At 44.7% G+C, this 17,941-nt stretch overlaps 1 protein-coding gene across 6 annotated transcripts in view, besides 4 other annotated features; it reads right to left on the bottom strand.

Annotated features, from left to right (window-relative positions):
* CBFB (core-binding factor subunit beta) overlaps positions 1-12,788 on the bottom strand; it is a 71,910-nt gene extending 59,122 nt beyond the window's left edge. For 4 of the 6 annotated variants that reach the window (NM_001755.3, NM_022845.3, NM_001368710.1 and 1 more), the window contains exons 1-3: positions 12,452-12,788; positions 12,124-12,210; positions 5,182-5,298 (exon numbers count right to left, since the gene is read on the bottom strand). In NM_001755.3, the coding sequence (NP_001746.1) occupies positions 5,182-5,298; positions 12,124-12,210; positions 12,452-12,529 (282 nt within the window). In that variant the 5' untranslated portion in view covers positions 12,530-12,788. The remainder of the gene's footprint in view (positions 1-5,181; positions 5,299-12,123; positions 12,211-12,451) is intronic. The other 2 variants (NM_001368709.1, NM_001368707.1) reach the window with 1 other exon arrangement.
* Positions 12,006-12,055: a silencer, noted in NCBI's record as "silent region_7578". NCBI's record gives its function as "represses an Ori minimal core promoter by ATAC-STARR-seq in GM12878 lymphoblastoid cells {active_cell/tissue: GM12878}" and the evidence as "EXISTENCE:reporter gene assay evidence [ECO:0000049][PMID:35858748]".
* Positions 12,306-12,545: a silencer, noted in NCBI's record as "silent region_7577". NCBI's record gives its function as "represses an Ori minimal core promoter by ATAC-STARR-seq in GM12878 lymphoblastoid cells {active_cell/tissue: GM12878}" and the evidence as "EXISTENCE:reporter gene assay evidence [ECO:0000049][PMID:35858748]".
* Positions 12,636-12,825: a silencer, noted in NCBI's record as "silent region_7576". NCBI's record gives its function as "represses an Ori minimal core promoter by ATAC-STARR-seq in GM12878 lymphoblastoid cells {active_cell/tissue: GM12878}" and the evidence as "EXISTENCE:reporter gene assay evidence [ECO:0000049][PMID:35858748]".
* Positions 13,386-13,525: an enhancer, noted in NCBI's record as "active region_10951". NCBI's record gives its function as "activates an Ori minimal core promoter by ATAC-STARR-seq in GM12878 lymphoblastoid cells {active_cell/tissue: GM12878}" and the evidence as "EXISTENCE:reporter gene assay evidence [ECO:0000049][PMID:35858748]".

Here is a 17,941-nt window from a genome sequence, read left to right as displayed (position 1 = left end):
ACCTTGTTTTGTCAGGGGTAAAAAAAAAAAAAAAAAGAAGGGCAGGAGGATCTCTTGAGCCTAGGAGTTTGAGGTTTGAGGTTACAGTGAACTATGATTGCACCACTGCACTCCAGCCTGGGTGACAGAGTGAGACCCTCTCTCTTAAAAAAAAAAAAAAAAAAAAAAGTAAAGAAACAAGCTGCAATAACAAGCTCCCACCACAACCTCACATGCGCTAAACCAACCTAACCTGCTGTTCAAAATTGTTCCAGCCAGTTTTCCCATCCCGATGACAGTAACCCCATAGTCCCAGTTTCTCTAGCCAAAAAGTTGGAGTCATTCTTTTTTTTTTGAGATGGAGTTTCACTCTTGTTGCCCAGGCTGGAGTGCAGTGGCACGATCTCAGCTCACTGCAACCTCCCCTTCCCGGGTTCAAGCAATTCTCCTGCCTCAGCCTAAGTTAGAGTCATTCTTTATTCTTCTCTTTCTCACACGCCATATCTAATCCATAAGCAAATCCTATTGGCTCTATCTCAAAATACATCCAGGATATGACCATTTCTCACTACCTCTACTGCTACCACCCTGGTCTCTCACCAAGATTACTGCAATAGCCTGCTTCACTTTTGCCCCCTATAACCTATTATTAACCTAGCAGCTAGCATGAGTCTGTCAAAACCTAACGTAGATAATATCATTCATCTGCTCAAAAGCCTGAGCTAGGTGCAGGAGCATGCCTTTACTCCCAGCTACTTCGGAAGCTGACCAAGAGCATAACTTGAGTCCAGGAGTTTGAGTCACCCTGGGCAACATACCAAGACCCTGTCCCTAAAATATAAGCAAACTAAACACTCAAAACTATTCCCCATCTCACTCAGAATAAAAAGCCCATGTGGTTACAATGGCCTACCATGGTCACATGAACTGGCTCATTGTTATTTCTGATTTCATCTACTACAACTTCTTTCACAGTCTACTCCAGCCACAATGGCCTGCTTGCTGTTGATCAAAAACAGGGTGCCACTCTGGGGCCCTTTATAATGGCTGTTTCCTTTGTCCGGAACATCTCTCCTCCACCCCCAACCCCTGCAGGGCTCATCATTCCCTAACCTCCTTTGTGTCTTGGTTCAGGTATGATCTTCCTTACCCAGACCACTCAATTTAAAACTGCAAACTTCCTGTTCATTGATCATCTTTATCCTATAATACCTTTCCTTTTTCCCAAAGGTACTGTCACTTTGTAAGCTATTACATAACTTATTATGTATATTGTCTGTTAAGGATCTCTGTTCACTGATGTATCTCAAATACCTAGGACAATGCTCAGTACACGTAACAGGTGTTCAACAAAGACCTTCTGAATGAATAAATTTTTTGATAACTGTGACAGGTACAGTAGTGGTCAAAACACTTTACATACACTATTTCAGTTACTCTCAACAGCAACCCTGGGAAGTACCCATTAATCTCATTCTACAACTAAGGATTACAATGATTAAACAACATGCCCAAAGTTACACTGTAGTAAATGCAGAAGCCAGAACTTAACTCAATTTTGCCTAACTCTAAAGCCTTTACAACTATAGTTCCTCAAAACTGCGTATGAACAGGACGAGAACTAAGCTGCTTCAGAAGGTAACTCAGTTGAGAGAATATGGAAGAAGACACTGATTTGGAATCCAATATAAGGAACAGAGGCAAATAATTAACATTTGGAGAAGTTCCTTCAATTTTCTTTGCTTCCAGTCCTAGTCCTGTGGGGACAGAAACAAAACCTAATGGTTATAATAAAACAGACCATAAAAAGAGAAAAGAAATTCGAGACCCCACAGTCTGAGCTCCACGGATGAGAAAACACAGGGCAATGCCTTTTCTCTAAATTCACTGGAGAACTTTATTACAGTGGCACGGAACAGTACAGTACGAGTTTTTGCCTTAAAATGCTTTTTTTTCTTCTAGAAAAAAAGTAGTACAGAAGTAGTACAGATGTTGACAAAATTCTATCTGAGAAATACATGACCTATGCATAAACATTTACAGATTTACATCTGAGGGAAAGATACTGATTTCTACCAGTGTCACCATTTATGGAACACAGCCACACTCAATTGTTTACATATTGTCTAGGGTCCCTTTCACACCACAACAGCAGAGTTACAGAGATGAGTAGTTGTGACAGAGACTGAAAGCCTGCAAAACTGAAAACATTTACATTTGTCCCTTCACAGAAAAAAAAACTTCTAAAACCAGTATTAATAAAATGTACATTTCCTGATAGCCTGCATAGTTCTATCACTCTTCCTAATAGAATTAAAAACATATCTTTTTAATACATTCATGTATTGCTTTAACAACGTTACAGCCTAAAATGGATCACATATATGACAGTGGTCTTGTAAGATTATAATGAATCTGAAAAATTCCTATTGCCTAGTGACATCATAGCCATTTTAACATTGCAGTGCAATTGCTTAATTTTTATAGATTTAGTGCGGCCTAAGCATACTATGTTTATATAATCTACAGAATCACATTCATTCACCACTTACTCAACTGACTGACCCAGAGCAACTTCCAGTCCTGCAAGCTCCATTCAAAGTAAGTGCCCTATACAGGTATACCATTTTTTAAATACTGTATTTTTACCATATCTTTTCTATGTTTAGATACATCAAGATACACAAATACTTACCAAATTGTGTTACAGTTGACTACAGTATTCAGTACGGTAACATGCTGTACAGTACAGGTTTGTAGCCTAGGAGCAACAGACTATACCAGATAGCCTAAGTGTGTAGTAGGCTATACCATCTAGATCTGTGTAAGTACACTCTATATATACACAATGATAAAAATCACCCAGCAACACATTTCCCAGAACATATCCCTACCATTAAGTGACACATGACTGTACTAGAATAAACCATCTCACATTTTTGTTATTTTTGGTCATATAACTAAAAACATCTCAATGGTTTAAGTCCAAGGATTATGTGGTCTTCACACTAGTGAAGCAGTATCATTAAATTAATTCAAGCAAACTTAATTTCTGGTAGAGTTAACAACCCATTTACTAGTTATTAAATACCGGAAGACTTCAGTAACACTGAGATGTTGCCCTTGAAGTCTTAAAATAGTTTTGGGCTAAAGCTGACAAAAAACAAATTTTTTTTTTTTTTGGTTTACGTCTTTAGTATCTGAGCTACCATGTTAAACAAACTTTAAGGAAGTATTCAAACAAGAAAAAAAATAATTTCTTCATTTAGTCACACATACACGCACCAGAAGCACAAAAAAACCAATAATCGTACAAGGACTTCTCAAATTCTTCCTTATATATTGTGTAAGAATTACCAAATAGTAAAATCTGGAACATTCACTTTTAATTTTCCAAGCAAACAAGCTAATACACAGGAAAGCAAACTGCTTGCTTAGTACTCATTTTTTTAAATCTTATAATCTGTTTTCCCTTTTCTAATCCAAAGATTGTTTTGTCACGCACAAAAGATCAAATCTAATTCTACAGAATTGGAGAAAACAAAAAATTCATTTTATATATACATATATATGTATATACATACACACATATACGTATATACACACACATATATACATATATACACACACATATACGTATATATACACATATATACGTGTATATATATATATACACACAAGATTAAATTAAATATTTCTCAAAGGAATATTTAGACATTTCTCACATTTTACATAAATGTGGCAGGTTATGCTATTCATGATGACACTTAGAAAATTAATTTAGTAAGTTGATAGAAACGGGTACAAAAACACACTGCAAAACAAACACACACAAAAAAAGTATGAAACTGGATCCAAAAGGGTGTTTTGAGTATAAAACTATATTTAAAAGAGGGTTTCTTCTTTAAAAATTTTATTCTAGAAGTCAACTCCTTGACTTCTCAATCAAGAATCAACCAATCCAAGATGCTATTCATTAAAATTTACCAGGCCAGGTGCAGTAGCTCACTCCTATAATCCCACCACTTTGGGAGGCAGAGGCAGGTGGATCACATGGTCAGGAGTTCAAGACCAGCCTGACCAATATGGGGAAACCCTGTCTCTACTAAAAATACAAAAAAATTAGCCAGGCGTGGTGGCGCACACCTGTAATCCCAGCTACTCAGGAGGCTGAGGCAGGAGAATAGCTTAAAACCCAGGAGGTGGAGGTTGCTGTGAGCCAAGATCACACCACTGCACTCCAGCCTGGGCAACAGAGGGAGACTCCATCTCAAAAAAAAAAAAAAAAAAATTACCAAAATCATAATACATTTAACGTAGACCTGAAATAAGGCTCTCAGCTTAAACATTTTACCTATATTTTTGTATCTTTAACCTAAACTTCTAACATCGAAACTGTAAGACATGTTCCCAGAAACTTTTTCTCAAAACAAAAAAAAAGTATTTCCAAGTTAAAGTTTTCACATTGTTTTTCTCAAATGTAAATTTGCTGTTAATGGAATTAGAAAGTTACCTATGAGCTATTTCTAAATACTATTAATTTTTAAACCTAGAGAGCTTTTTTCCGTTTTCCTCTTGTTTTATTTTTATAGCACTATACTTACATATATTTTTGTAAACAAAATATATCTCCTCAAACTTTTAAAGAAATTGTTATGTTACTTTCCTTAAGGGTTAGAATGTTCTATGACAAATATTATGTACATGAAATTAGGAATGGAGTGATACAAAAGTTTAACAGTGGTTTTAAAAAATTATATTGGCCGGGCACAGTGGCTCACGCCTGTAATCCCAACACTTTGGGAGGCAGAGGTGGGCGGATCACAAGGTCAGGAGTTCGAGACCAGCCTGGCCAACATGGTGAAACCCCATCTCCACTAAAAATACAAAAATTAGTCAGATGTGGTGGCGGGTACCTGTAATCCCAGCTACTCAGGAGGCTGAGGCAGGAGAATCGCTTGAAACTGGAAGGCGGAGATTGCAGTGAACCAACATCACGCCACTGCACTCCAGCCTGGGCAACAAGAGCGAAACGCCATTAAAAAAAAAAAATTATATTACATCCTTATAACATGGAATGAAAACAAATCTGAGCATATGCTGGTATAATCAGATCTGTGATCTTTATTAAAATGTAAATTACCAGATAATCTCTAACAAAACAACCCACAGTATTTTAAATTGCAAAGAAATGTTTCCTACCTTGCCTGCTTCTCTTTCTAAGTCGACATACTCTCGGCTAGGTGTTTGTCGCTGTTCTCCCTGCCAGCTGGCCGGAAAAAACTGGAGAGACAGATTGGTTCCTGTGGCCACAAAAGCCTTTTAGAAAAATCAATACAAACAGGATCAGGAGCAGGACATTACATAAATTATGCAAGCAGTCATTTATTTTTACATCAGTTTATGTCTTAAGCCAGGCAGCACAGAGAATACTTAAAAGTAAAAAAAAACATGCACTCATCATTTTTCTTAAGTATTAAGTTACAAACATCTGATTCCATTTTGAGGACATTTGCCATTGGCTGCTTAAGTATAAAATCAGACATGGAATCAATACTTTCTTTCAGGTCATTTTTTGCTGACGTTAGGATCTCACACTGCTAATGTCTAACCAGAAGCCACTATCCATCTCTGCATTTAAAAACTTCTATTTTTAAATGTAAAAATCACTCAAAATCTAAAGATTTTGAATTTTAAAGAATACCACAATTTAAAATTGTATAAATGAGACACTTTAATTTTCCTTGATTTCCCTTGCTGAAACACTGCATAGCAGGCAGTACATAAAAAATGCACTTGGAATTGTCTCTCCTCTGATAAACCATACATTGGCATGGGATGTGACAGTACTCTCTAAAACCCTAGATGATTTTTAAAAATATGTCTTTTCTCACATTTGACTTTAGGAGAACTTGGTCTGACTACAACAAAGAGAAAAGTATTCATCTAATAAATATTTATAGATTAGATTTATAAATATAAAAGATTTGGATGTTAGAGCTCAACAGATGCAACAATCTAAAACCACTTCAATAAAGTGTCATTTTATGTAGGCCTTGAGCAAGTTACCTCTATATTTCCCTCAGGCAAAAAACAAAGACATTACCCCTTTCCCAAAGGAAATTAAGAAAAAAAGAAGTAAAAGCATTTTTGAAAAAATACATTTTTCATCATCTAAATGTAAACTCTTCTTTGCTGAAACCAGAAAAAGTTTTTTGTTTGGTTTATTCTACTAATTAAGTTCTGAAGCATAATTGGTTTCCATGCATAGAGTCTTCATCTCAAATCAAGAGGTTCACATTTGGGGCAATTTGTTTAAAGCCATCAACCAAGTTAGCTATCCAATAGTTCCCCTGATGGTTAACAGCTTAGATTCTTTAGAGGTAAAAATTATACTTCCTATTTCTATTACTGGCACTGTCGGTACACTTGTCAACCTAAATGCTAAATCTCTAAACCTCTCTGATGGCATTTCCCTAATCAACTGGGGTACCATTTTCATGTGGTAAATGTTTTATATCCATAGAAACTGAACTAACATCAATATTACAACATCATTTTAAAAAATCTTTCAGGCCAGGAGCAGTGGTTCACACTCGTAATCCCAGCCCTTTGGGAGGCAAGGCAGGTAGACCATCTGAGGTCAGGAGTACAAGACCAGCCTGGCCAACATGGTGAAACCCTGTCTCTACTAAAAATACAAAAAATTAGCTGGGCATGGTGGCAGACGCCTGTAATCCCAGCTACTTGGGAGGATGAGGCAGGAGAATCACTTGAACCTGGGAGGCAGAGGTTGCATGCAGTCAGCCGAGATTGCACCACTGTGCTCCAGCCTGGACAACAAGGCGAGACTCCATCACAAAAACAAAAAACAAAAAAAACTTCCCATGTACTACGAGCATAAATCTTAACAAAAAACCCCCCAACACTAGTTAAAAAAAAAAAAAGTTTCTGGGAGGGAAACTGCCCAGGCTGTACGACCTGAAGCATAATTCAGTTTTCTCACAAATCAATTATTTGTAAAGTGCTTAAAACAGTACCAAGTAAATGCTATGAAAGTGTCTGCTGAATAATATGATAAATAACTTTAAGCTCAACAAGAAAGCCAACTTTTTCAGCTTCAGATAATGAAATTCTCAGAGCAGAGTGGTGGCAGAAAAGACACAGCCCATGAACGACTGCCCCGTGTCAAAATCCCTGTGGCTTGTTTCTTCAGTATTCACGTAGTAGCAAATCCTTCCACCTCCAGTGTACCCCAAATCAGTTCTGTGCTAAGACACTCTGCAGATCGTATTACCTCATCTCCTGTCTTGATGCCAACCTCAGAAGAGATTTCCTGCTTCATCACTATATGTCCATTATCTCATAAAGATCCCTCTCTGAGACAGAAGTGGTAAACACAGATCATTCTAGAATAACATTTTCCAAACTTATGTGACCATGGAATTCTTTTAATGAAATACCTACATATAGGTAAGAGTTGGAAAAAGTCTGTTCCAAAATATTAATATGGTGTCAACATCGTCATAGGAAAATAAAGACGAAAATAAACAAAATGAAAACATTAAAATGCTACACTAGTATGACGCCTATATTTAAGATTTCCAGGTTGTCTTATGCTTTGTAGGTTTCACAAATTATAAAATAGCACACCTTGTGCCAATCCAACATACTTTTTACCATTCAATCTTTAGAATTAGAAATATGTATTAGTTTTTACTCTTCTCACCACAGAGTAACCATACTTCTTATAAATATTTTTTCTTTATTTGATTATTAGTGTTGAAGACGTCTCCAACATTCTTAACTACATAAGAATTGGTAAGAATAGGCCGGGTGCAGTGGCTCAAGCCTGTAATCCCAGCACTTTGGGAGGCCAACACAGGCAGATCACGAAGTCAGAAGTTTAACACCAGTCTGGCCAATATAGTGAAACCCCACCTCTACTAAAAATACAAAAAATTAGCCGGGTGTGGTGGTGTGCGCCTGTAATCCTAGCTACTCGGGAGGCTGAGGCAGGAGAATCGTGTGAACCCAGGAGGCAGAGGTTGCAGTGAGCCGAGAGCCAAGATCGTGCCATTGCACTCCAGCCTAGCCGACAGTGCAAGACGCCGTCTCAAAAAAAAAAAAAAAAAAAACAACGGTGAAACTCTGTCTCTACTAAAAATACAAAAACAAATTAGCCGGGTGTGGTGGCAGGCGACTGTAGTCCCAGTTACTCGGGAGGCTGAAGCGGGAGAATGGCGTGAACCCAGGAGGCGGAGCTTGCAGTGAGCCGAGATCGTGCCACTGCACTCCAGCCTGGGCGACAGAGCAAGACTCCGTCTCAAAAAAAAAAAAAAAAGAATTGATAAGAATAAATCAAGGCTGGGTGCAGTGGCTCACTGAGGCAGGCACATCACTTGAGGCCAGCAGTTGGAGACCAGCCTGGCCAACATGGTGAAACCCATCTCTACTAAAAATACAAAAACCAGCCAGGCGTGGTGGCAGGCGCCTGTAATCCCAGCAAGTCAGGAGGCTGAAGCAGGAGGTGGAGGTTGCAGTGAACGGAGATGGCACCACTGCACTCCAGCCAGAGTGACAGAGTAAGATCCAGTCTCAAAAAAGAATAAATCAGATTCTACTACAGATTCTTCGACCTGTGTTCACTTTTATTTAATGCTGATTGGGTTTTACAGTTAAAAACTCAATTGGCATAAAATAAGGAGGCTGATTGAGTTTTATAGTTAAAGAGAGATGATCAACACAGCCCTTAAATTATTTCACATCTAAATGCAAAATGAGGCTGGGAGTGGTGGCTCACGCCTGTAATCCCAGCACTTTGGGAGGCCGAGGTCGGTGGATCACCTGAGGTCAGGAGTTTGAGACCAGCCTGGCAAACATGGTGAAACTCCGTCTCTACTAAAAATACAAAAATTAGCTGGGCATGGTGGTATACGCCTGTAATTCCAGCTACTCAGGAGGCTGGGTCAAGACAATCACTTGAACATGGGGGACGGAGGTTGCACTGAGCCAAGATCATGCCACTGCACTCCAGCCTGGGCAACAGCAAAATGAATTCTTCATTAACCTCACTGATACATCAAGAAGATGTTCCAAATAAGAAGAGGACAACTGGGGCAGGAGAAAGGTTGGGAATAGTTTTGAGAACTATGGATATCCTTGCCATTTATGGCTGCTGTCAAAACAGGCAAAATAATGCCTTTTTCCACAGCCAAATAGGAAGAAACCCAGCCTGTTCATAAGTCATGAGATAAATTTCAGGCATTAAATTAAGCAGCCTCTAAATTCAAATAATCAAGTACCTCTGATATAAAAGGTATTGTGAAAAATAGCTGTATCCAGAGGGGTTTATACAAAATTAATGAGGTCTCTACCCTCTAGGAGCTAAGGATCCTGTAATTAAATGTGGGTTAACACTGAATTAAAGGAGGGAAACTAGAAAGAGAGAAAACTAGGAAACGTGAAATTCCTCTCCAAATACCAATAGTTACATTATTTAACAAAATAAGACATGAGCCGTCTTAAGTGCAAACCTCACACAGCATTCAATCTACCTTCTTTAACCTTTAATACTTCTCAGAAATTTAAAACTTGTAAAATGTGTCGAATCAGATACTTGTTTTATTTTTGGAGACCGGGTCTCACTCTGTCACCCAGGCTGGAGTGCAGTGGTACGATCATGGCTAACTGCAGCCTCGACCTCCCGGGCTCAGGTGAGGATCAGATTATTTGGAAGCGGGGAAGGTCTAGAATGTCTAATTCATCCTGGAAATAAATTCATGACAAACACTAACCACCTGTACTACTACTATAATATTACAGCATTTCAGATATCCTATGGGTTGAATTCATAATTCCATTCAGCAAAGTCTGAGATGACAGAAAACACCCTACTAGCTATGATTCACCAAATTTCCAAAAAAATTCAGCTTTCAAAGATAGTGATGATAATACAACACATGGGGCTGCGTATGGTGACGCCGAGCCTGTAGTCCCAGCTATTGGGAGGCTGAGGCAAGAGGATCGCTTGAGCCCAGAAGTTTGAGGCTGTAGTGCCTCATGATTGTGCCTGTGAACAGCCACTGCACCCCAGCCTAGGCCACACAGCAAGACCTCTCTCTTAAAAAAAAAAAACGAAACAAGACCAGACGCGGTGGCTCACACCTGTAATCCCAGCACTTTGGAAGGCCGAGGTGGGAGGATTACTTAAGGTCAGGAGTTCAAAACAAGCCTGGCCAAGATGGTGAAACCCCGTCTCTACTAAAAATACAAAAAAATTAGCCGGGCGTGGTGGTGTGTGCCTGTAATCCCAGCTACTCAGGAGGCTGAGGCAGGAGAATCGCTTTAACCCAGGAGGCGAAGGTTGCAGCGAGCCAAGATCATGCTGCTGTGCTTCCAGCCTGGGTAACAGAGCGAGACTCCGTCTCAAAACAAAAAAGCAAACAGTGAGAGTACAAGTACTTTGTAACTTATCTTTTATACTTGCATCCTTTACCTCCAGGAAATTCTATCGTCAGGTATACCACCTTCCCTTTGCAAAAGGTAACCCAGGCAAAGGATGACACGATCATCGCACCAGCTAATGAATTCTTTTATTATACCACTCAGTGCCAAAACCTAAAAGTATGTCTTATGCACTTCAATCATATAAATACTACAATTACTCAAGAAATTTGCAAGTGGGCTAAAAGCTTGAGACTCTCTTTCATAACATGCACTAATGACCAAATATTCAGGAGCTCCTGATAAATTTAACCAGTATCTTCTCACTATTACAACTCTAAAAAGCTTTCACTTAAAATATCAAAATATTCTTTAAAAATAAATTTGAGTTCAGTGATGTAAAGGGAGAATTTTATGACATATGAATTATATCTGAATAAAAATAAACTGGTTTTATAAAGGGGGTGGGAGAAGTAAATTTCCAATGTCTTCCTACTGTTAACCCAAATTCAAATCGCACCTAGCTTCAAGCCTCTAACAATGCAGTGAGTCCAAGTCACCGAGCAGAGAGTAACAGCATTCCATTAGACAGTGCTTCAACTTTTTAAAAAATAATCAGGCCAGACGCAGTGGCTCACGCCTGTAATCCCAGCACTCTGGGAGGTCGAGGAGGGCGGATCACTTGAGGTCAGGAGGCCAGCTTGGCCAACAAGGTGAAACCCCGTCTCTACTAAAAATGCAAAAATTAGCCGGGCGTGGTGGCAGGCACCTGTAATCCTAGCTACTCAGGAGGCTGAGGCAGGAAAATCGCTTGAACCCAGGAGGCGAAGGTTGCAGTGACCCGAGATCGAGCCACTGTACTCCAGCCTGGGCAACAGAGCAAGACTCTACCTCAAAAAAATAGTAATAATCAACCTCTTTTCTTGGTTTCTTCCTACCACTCCCTCCTCATCAGCACCTCCAACAAGGCAAACCAAAAAGATGAGAGGAACTAGGACCCTTGGATTTTTTTTTTCAACCCAAGGTCTGGTGAAGACGCACTAAATCTGCCTCCTAAAACAAGGACCTCGAGATCAACCGTGGGTTTTGCCCATCTGTGCAGTTTTTAGGAACAGCAGCCCTACTCAGGACATGGGGATAATGGTTTCTTTCTGATTCTCCTGAAGCTTAACATTCTAAGAAAATGACATTTTTAGGGCCTTTTCCCCCCCCTCCCCTCTCTATTAGAATAAATAACTGGAGGAAAGATTTCTACTCGGCGATCTGGTAGTGAGACCGCTTGACACAGAGAATTACCGACAGATCTACCTTCTAAGAAACAAACTATCGCCGACCTTGAATGAAGCTCCACTTCTTTTTCCGAATGGGGGTTTGCTTGCTACAAATACCCTGAACCCTTCTTCGGTGTCGCCGCCTAAACAATGCCCTTCGCTTGTTTAGTCTGGCTCGGGTTCGAGCTCCACTCGCGGTGCTCCGTTGGCCGACACGCGCCACCGCGGCGAGCCCCAGGAAAAGCGTCTCCCCGCGAGTACCGGCCCGCGGCATCTGGTTTCGCATTTTGAATCCCGAGTAGGAAGTGAGACGGCGCCCACTCAGTTCCGGGAGCCGCAGCAGCCGCGCCGCCGTCCGGAACCGGCCTGGGCCGCCGCGGCCCCGCGCAACAAGTGACCCGCGCGCGCCCCGGGCCAGCCGACTTACGATTTCCGAGCGGCCGTCGCGGCAGGCGTTCTGGAAGCGTGCCTGGCGTTCCTCGTGGGGCCGGTCCCTGAAGCCCGTGTACTTAATCTGCAAGGCAAGACGGCCCGAAATCAGGAGCCAAATCCGCGGCGCCGCCCGCGCGCCCGCCCTCCCAGCGCAGCGCCGATAAGGGCAAGCAGAGGCTGCGGGCGATGGCCGCCCCGGCGAGATTGCCCCTCCGCGGGCGCACCGACCGGGACTCCCGGGGACCGTGCCGCCCAAACTTTTCTCCGCCCGGGCCCACTCGGGGCGCGCTGCGGCCTCCTAGCCGCCCGCCCGCCTGCCTCACCTCACACTCGCGGCTCAGCTTCCTAAAAAACTCCTCGTTCTCGAACTTGCTTCTCTGGTCGGGCACGACGCGCGGCATCTTCCCGCCCTGAGGCCGCGCCGGCCGGCCGCGCTCGGGGCTTGCGCGGGCACCCGCTGGCTGGCTCCGCGCTGACCGACTGACCGCCCACCCGCGGCGCCCGGACGCCCGCTTCCCTTTGTTTCAGGCGCCCGCCCGCGTGGGCTCCCGTTCCGGGGAGTCTGAGGCGCCGCCGCCCGCTCGAGCCCAACCCACGCCGCCGCCGCCGCCGCCGCCGCCTCAGCCGTTGCCTGCCGCCCGCGCAGCCCCAGCGCTCACCGCCCCCGGCCGCCGCCGCCGCCGCCGCCGCCACTTCCTCTCACCGCCCACCCCGCCCCCGCCGGCCCCACCCCTCCTCCTCGCGCGCCCGCCCGCCTCCAACTCCGGCAAACAAGACGCACCATTCACAACTCCGCGGCCCACGCCGCGCATGCGCCACCCGCCCGCTGGCGGAGCGGCCTGGCTGTGGCGCCCCGGGGCTCCTTCCGCATCAGGGCCCTTTTCCCCCTGCTCGCCCGCGGCCACTCGGCGTGGAGCTGTCGTTGGGGGATCCGCCTGGCCTTTAGCAGACGGGAGTAGCCAGCGCAGGCCTTTTCTACCGCCCTTCCTCGGTCATCTGGAACTTCTGGGTTCCCCAGGTGCGCGGAGTAACCCCAGATTGTCACTTGAACGCGAGGAAACCTAAGTCCTTGGGGACTTTTCGTCCCTAAACCGACCGGCAGGGGTGTAGGCTCTGCACGTTGAAGACTGAGGTGGAAACGGACCAAAGAATCCAACCGAGTCATGGTGGAAAGGTCGTGGCTTTTGGAGTCAGATGGGTCTTAGATGGGATCCCACTCAGCTACACTACCTGCTGGCTGGGGCCTTAGATAAGAATTGGACCACTAAACCTCAGTTTCCTTATTTCCAAAATGCAGACACTCCTAGGTTTGCAGTGTTAGCGTGAGAACCTTTATGTGGGTCTAGCACACAGTGGGAGCCCAATAAATTTAAGTTTCTAAAGAAGAACAAGCTGAGTTAAGAATGTAACCGATTGCCAGTCCATATACTTACTCAATGTGCAATCAGCTGCAAAAAATAAGATCCATAAATTCTAGGGAAGTTGTTTAGCCCAAACTGGAGAAAGTCTGACATGGGATTTATGGCAGAGTTTGATTCAAAGTTAGTCCTGTGGCCGGGCACTGTAGCTCATACCCGTAATCCCAGCCCTCTTTTTTTTTTTTTTTTTTTTTTTTTTTTAAACAGAGCCTCGCTCTGTCGCCCAGGCTGGAGTGCAATGGCGCGATCTCGGCTCACTGCAACCTCCGCCTCCTGGGTTCAAGTGATTCTTCTGCCTCTGTCTCCCGAGTATTTGGAATTACAGGCACCCACCACCACGCCCAGCTAATTTTTTTGTATTTTTAGTAGAGACGGGGTTTCGCCATGTTGGTCAGGCTGGTCTCGAACTCCTGACCTCAGGTGATCTGCCCGCCTCGGCCTCCCAAAGTACTGGGATTACAGGCATGAGCCACTGCGCCTGGCCTAATCCCAGCACTTTGGGAGGCCGAGGCAGGCTGATCACCTGAGATCAGGAGCTCGAGGCCGGTCTGGTCAACATGGCAAAACCCCATCTCTACTAAAGTACAAAAATTAGCGGGGTGTGGTGGCACACGCCTGTAGTCTCAGCTACTCGGGAGGCTGAGGCAGGAGAATCGCTTGAACCTGGGAGGCGGAGGTTGTAGTGAGCCAAGACGGTGCCACTGCACTGCAGCCTGGGCCACAGAGCAAGACTCCGTCTCAAACAGCTACTCGGAAGCTGAGGCAGGAGAATTGGTTGAACCTGGGAGGCAGAGGTTGCGGTGAGCCAAGATCGTGCCATTGCACCCCAGCCTGGGGAACAAGAGCATAACTCCGTCTCGGGGGGAAAAAAAATCCATGAGGAAGCACTCTTGCTCCACAATGGGTCCAAGGAGGGCTCACAGACCTCCAAGTTGATCTTGGCCAAAGACTCTAGCAATAATTGTTTCTGCCATGGGAAATGTGGAATAAATAAAAATTGAAAGATCTCTAGAATGGCCTTGATGGCCATGAGCTTAGGCAAGGAAAAGGTCAGGGTCAAGGGAGCTAGACCTGGAGGGGTGGGAGTGCAGAGCAGGGCAGGGCGCTCTCATTGTCAGCCTCAAGGAGGGGAGGAACGATGTCCTAAGGGAAAGGGACAGCAAAGCCTGCCAAGCAGACCCAGAACAGCAGCCCCACAGACAGCCTTGGGCAACTCCAGGCCACAGGGTAACCCACACTCGTCGTAGTCTGGCATCCAACAGCCAGGATGACCGGGAAATAAGCCACAGGCTGAAGGAGGCCATCTCCTCGGCTGACCTCTATATGCCTTTTTGGTTGTTAATTTTTTTTCACTTATTTAAAAAAACAGAATTAAAGGAAATTTATAAAGGAAATTTTCACCCATGTAAGGTACACTTAAGTCTGTGCTCCTAACAGCTTTGGCAGCTGTTGAGTTGGGTATGGGTTGGCCCAGACACCATGCTATGGGTGTTTGCTAAGGGGGTTTGCTAAGATCCAGCTCTACTAAGGCCCACTCATGGAGGCTTAGAGGTGTCTTTTCTGTGCCAAGAAACATCTGCCCCCACCGTCCCAAAACCTGACTGAATTATCTGAAGTCCGGTCATCTGGAATCTTCCTTTCGTAAGGATTCAAGCCAACCAAGGGCCTCCTCTTGAGTATCTCCCTAACTTCCTAGGTGGGTGGCTGCTCCTGCAGGCTCCTAAAGCTGATCTTGGGTGGGTAAGTAGATAATACACAATGAAGCTGAGGAGAGCGCAGGAACCCTCACTTGCCTAGTGCAACTGTGAAGCTCTGTTCAGGGTGCCTTCATGCACCTTATCACAGTTAATTCACACAACCACTTTCTTTTTTTTTTTTGAGACGGAGTCTCACTCTGTTGCCCAGGCTGGAGTGCAATGGTGCAATCTCGGCTCACTGCAACCTCTGCCTCCCGGGTTTAACCGATTCTCCTGCCTCAGCTTCCTGAGTAGCTGGGATTACAGGCGCCTGCCACCACGCCCAGCTAATTTTTGTATTTTTAGTAGAGAAGGGCAGGCTAGTCTCGAACTCCCAACCTCAGGCAATCTGCCCGCCTTGGCCTCCCAAAGTGCTGGGATTACAGGCGTGAGCCACCGCGCCCGGCCCACACAACCATCTTCTAAGTCAGGTCTTCTGTCTCCTGAGAGATGAGGAAACAGACTTTGAAAAAGTAAATAAGGCCAGGAGCGATGGTTCACGTCTGTAATCCTAGCACTTTGGGAGGCTGAGGCGGGTGGATTGCCTGAGCTCAGGAGCTCGAGACCAGCCTGGGCAACACAGTGAAACCCGGTCTCCACGGAAATACAAAAAATTAGCTGTGCGTGGCAGCGTGTGCCTGTAATCCCAGCCACTCTGGAGGCTGAGACAGGAGAATCACTTGAACCCGGGAGGCAGAGGTTTCAGTGAGCCGAGATTGCACCACTGCACTCCAGCCTGGGTGACAGAGCAAGACTCTGCCTCAAAAAAAAAAAAAAAAAAGTAAAAGTAAAAAAGGACAGTGACGAGACCCTGATCCATTTGAAATAACAAAATGGGGGCTGGGCATGGTGGTGCACACCTGTAATCTCAGTAGTTTGGGAAGTGGAAGTGGGAGGATCACTTGAGGCCAGGAGTTTGAGGCCATCCTAGGCAACAGAGTGAGACCCTCCCCCGACTCTAAAGAAACTAGCTAAGCATTGGGATACATCATCTTCATTCCTTCCTCACCACAACCCTGTAAGTTTAGTATTATTGATCCTATTCTACAGATGGGCCAACGGAGATTCACAGGGGTTAAGTGACCCCAGGGTGGTGATTTTAATCATTCTACTCTGAGACCTAGTGGAGATACCAAAAGTCCTGCCTGCTGCCCTCACTGAACTGCAAACTCATAGAAGGCTATGTCTGGGGTTATTCCTCTGGGAGCACCCCACCATGTTCTAGAAGGGTCCCCACAGGTTGAAGAAAGGGGTTCTATTTTGGGCCTTGTGGCAGGATGTGGGTCTGCCCTTGAGGACTGTGCATTCCTATCTCTGAGCCTGTTTGTCCCTTCTTGGCTTGGAAGGTCAAAGTCTAGATGTCCTGCCTCTGCAGGCCCAGCAGAAAGGATGGTTTTATCCAGGTCTGGTGTCAGCAGCCACCCACCTTTGCCTCTCCTCACAGAGGAAGTCTCTGAGCCTCTGATGCATTTTTTCTAAGGAAATAGTTTCCCTTCAGTTACTGAGAAAATATTGTACCATCTTGAAGCTGAAATAGGATCTGGAGCCACAAATGAGACTTGAGAGGAGTGGGAGACAAGGAAAATTAGTGGCTGGCACATTGCCTAAAACCCTGGCTCCACTCAGCTTCTAGTTTTTAGAAGGCAATGGGCCTTAATTCAGGATGAGGGTGTCATCTGCCCAAGTGTGGCAGTTTCCTGGGCCCTAAAGAATTTTTTTCTTTTTGAGATATAATTTATATACCGTAAAATCCACCCTTGGGCCCAGAGAATCTCCCCTCCCTCCCAGGGGCATCTCCCCCTTCTGAGCCCTCTAGCCACCCTCCCCCAGCTCAGCCATCCCATAGGGAAAGGAAAGCAGAGAGGAGCAAGTTTCCCCAGAATAGCATTTCTTTAGTGTTGGGATCAATAAACCCGTTTGCTTAAAAGGAACCAGATGATTTCATCCTTGTAATTATAAGTTTGACGTTTGCAAATCTTGCCCGGGCTCCAAATGAGCCTCTTTGTCATGGGGGTTGGGGGTGGAGGAGTTTGTCTGGGTGCCTGGGGATGGCAGGACTGAGCCTACTGTGGTGGGAAGAGGGCCAAGCTGGGGTCAGGAAGCCTGGCTGATGATCTTAGAGGGCTGCCTTGGACTGCTCCCCTTCCCCTCCCCTGCTCTCCTAGTTTCTGACAAGTGATGGGAAACAGACTAGACTAAGGGGCTAGGGAATAAAAATAATGGTAATAACAATAATAATGGTAGTAATAATAATAATATAATGTGATGAGAGCTGGGATGAGCTCTAACCACACCACCCTTTTGCTTAAGACCCCTCCCCCAAGATTGAAGAAACTTGGGGCAGAAAGACAAAGGCCCTCAGCCTAGCATTTATGACCCCCTGACAATCCCTACTTTCCAACACTATCTCCCATCGTTTCTCCCCATGGCACCCTGCAATCCAGCCATACTGGCCTGTTTCCATTCCCTACGTGCCCATACCATGACTTCCTCCTGTTTCTCTGTTGGGAAAACTCATCTTTCTTCTTTCTTTCTCTTTTGGGGCAGGGTCTTCCTGTTTCACCCAGGCTGGAGTGCAGTGGTGCAATCATGGCTTACTGCAGCCTTGACCTCCTGGGGTCAAGCAATCCTCCCACCTCAGCCTCCTGAGTAGCAAGTA

This window comes from Homo sapiens, chromosome 16 (assembly GCF_000001405.40).
Source record: "Homo sapiens chromosome 16, GRCh38.p14 Primary Assembly".
Lineage (NCBI taxonomy): Eukaryota > Metazoa > Chordata > Mammalia > Primates > Hominidae > Homo > Homo sapiens.
The sequence above is the reverse complement of the archived record's forward strand: the minus strand, read 5'-3'. Positions and strand labels throughout refer to the sequence as shown.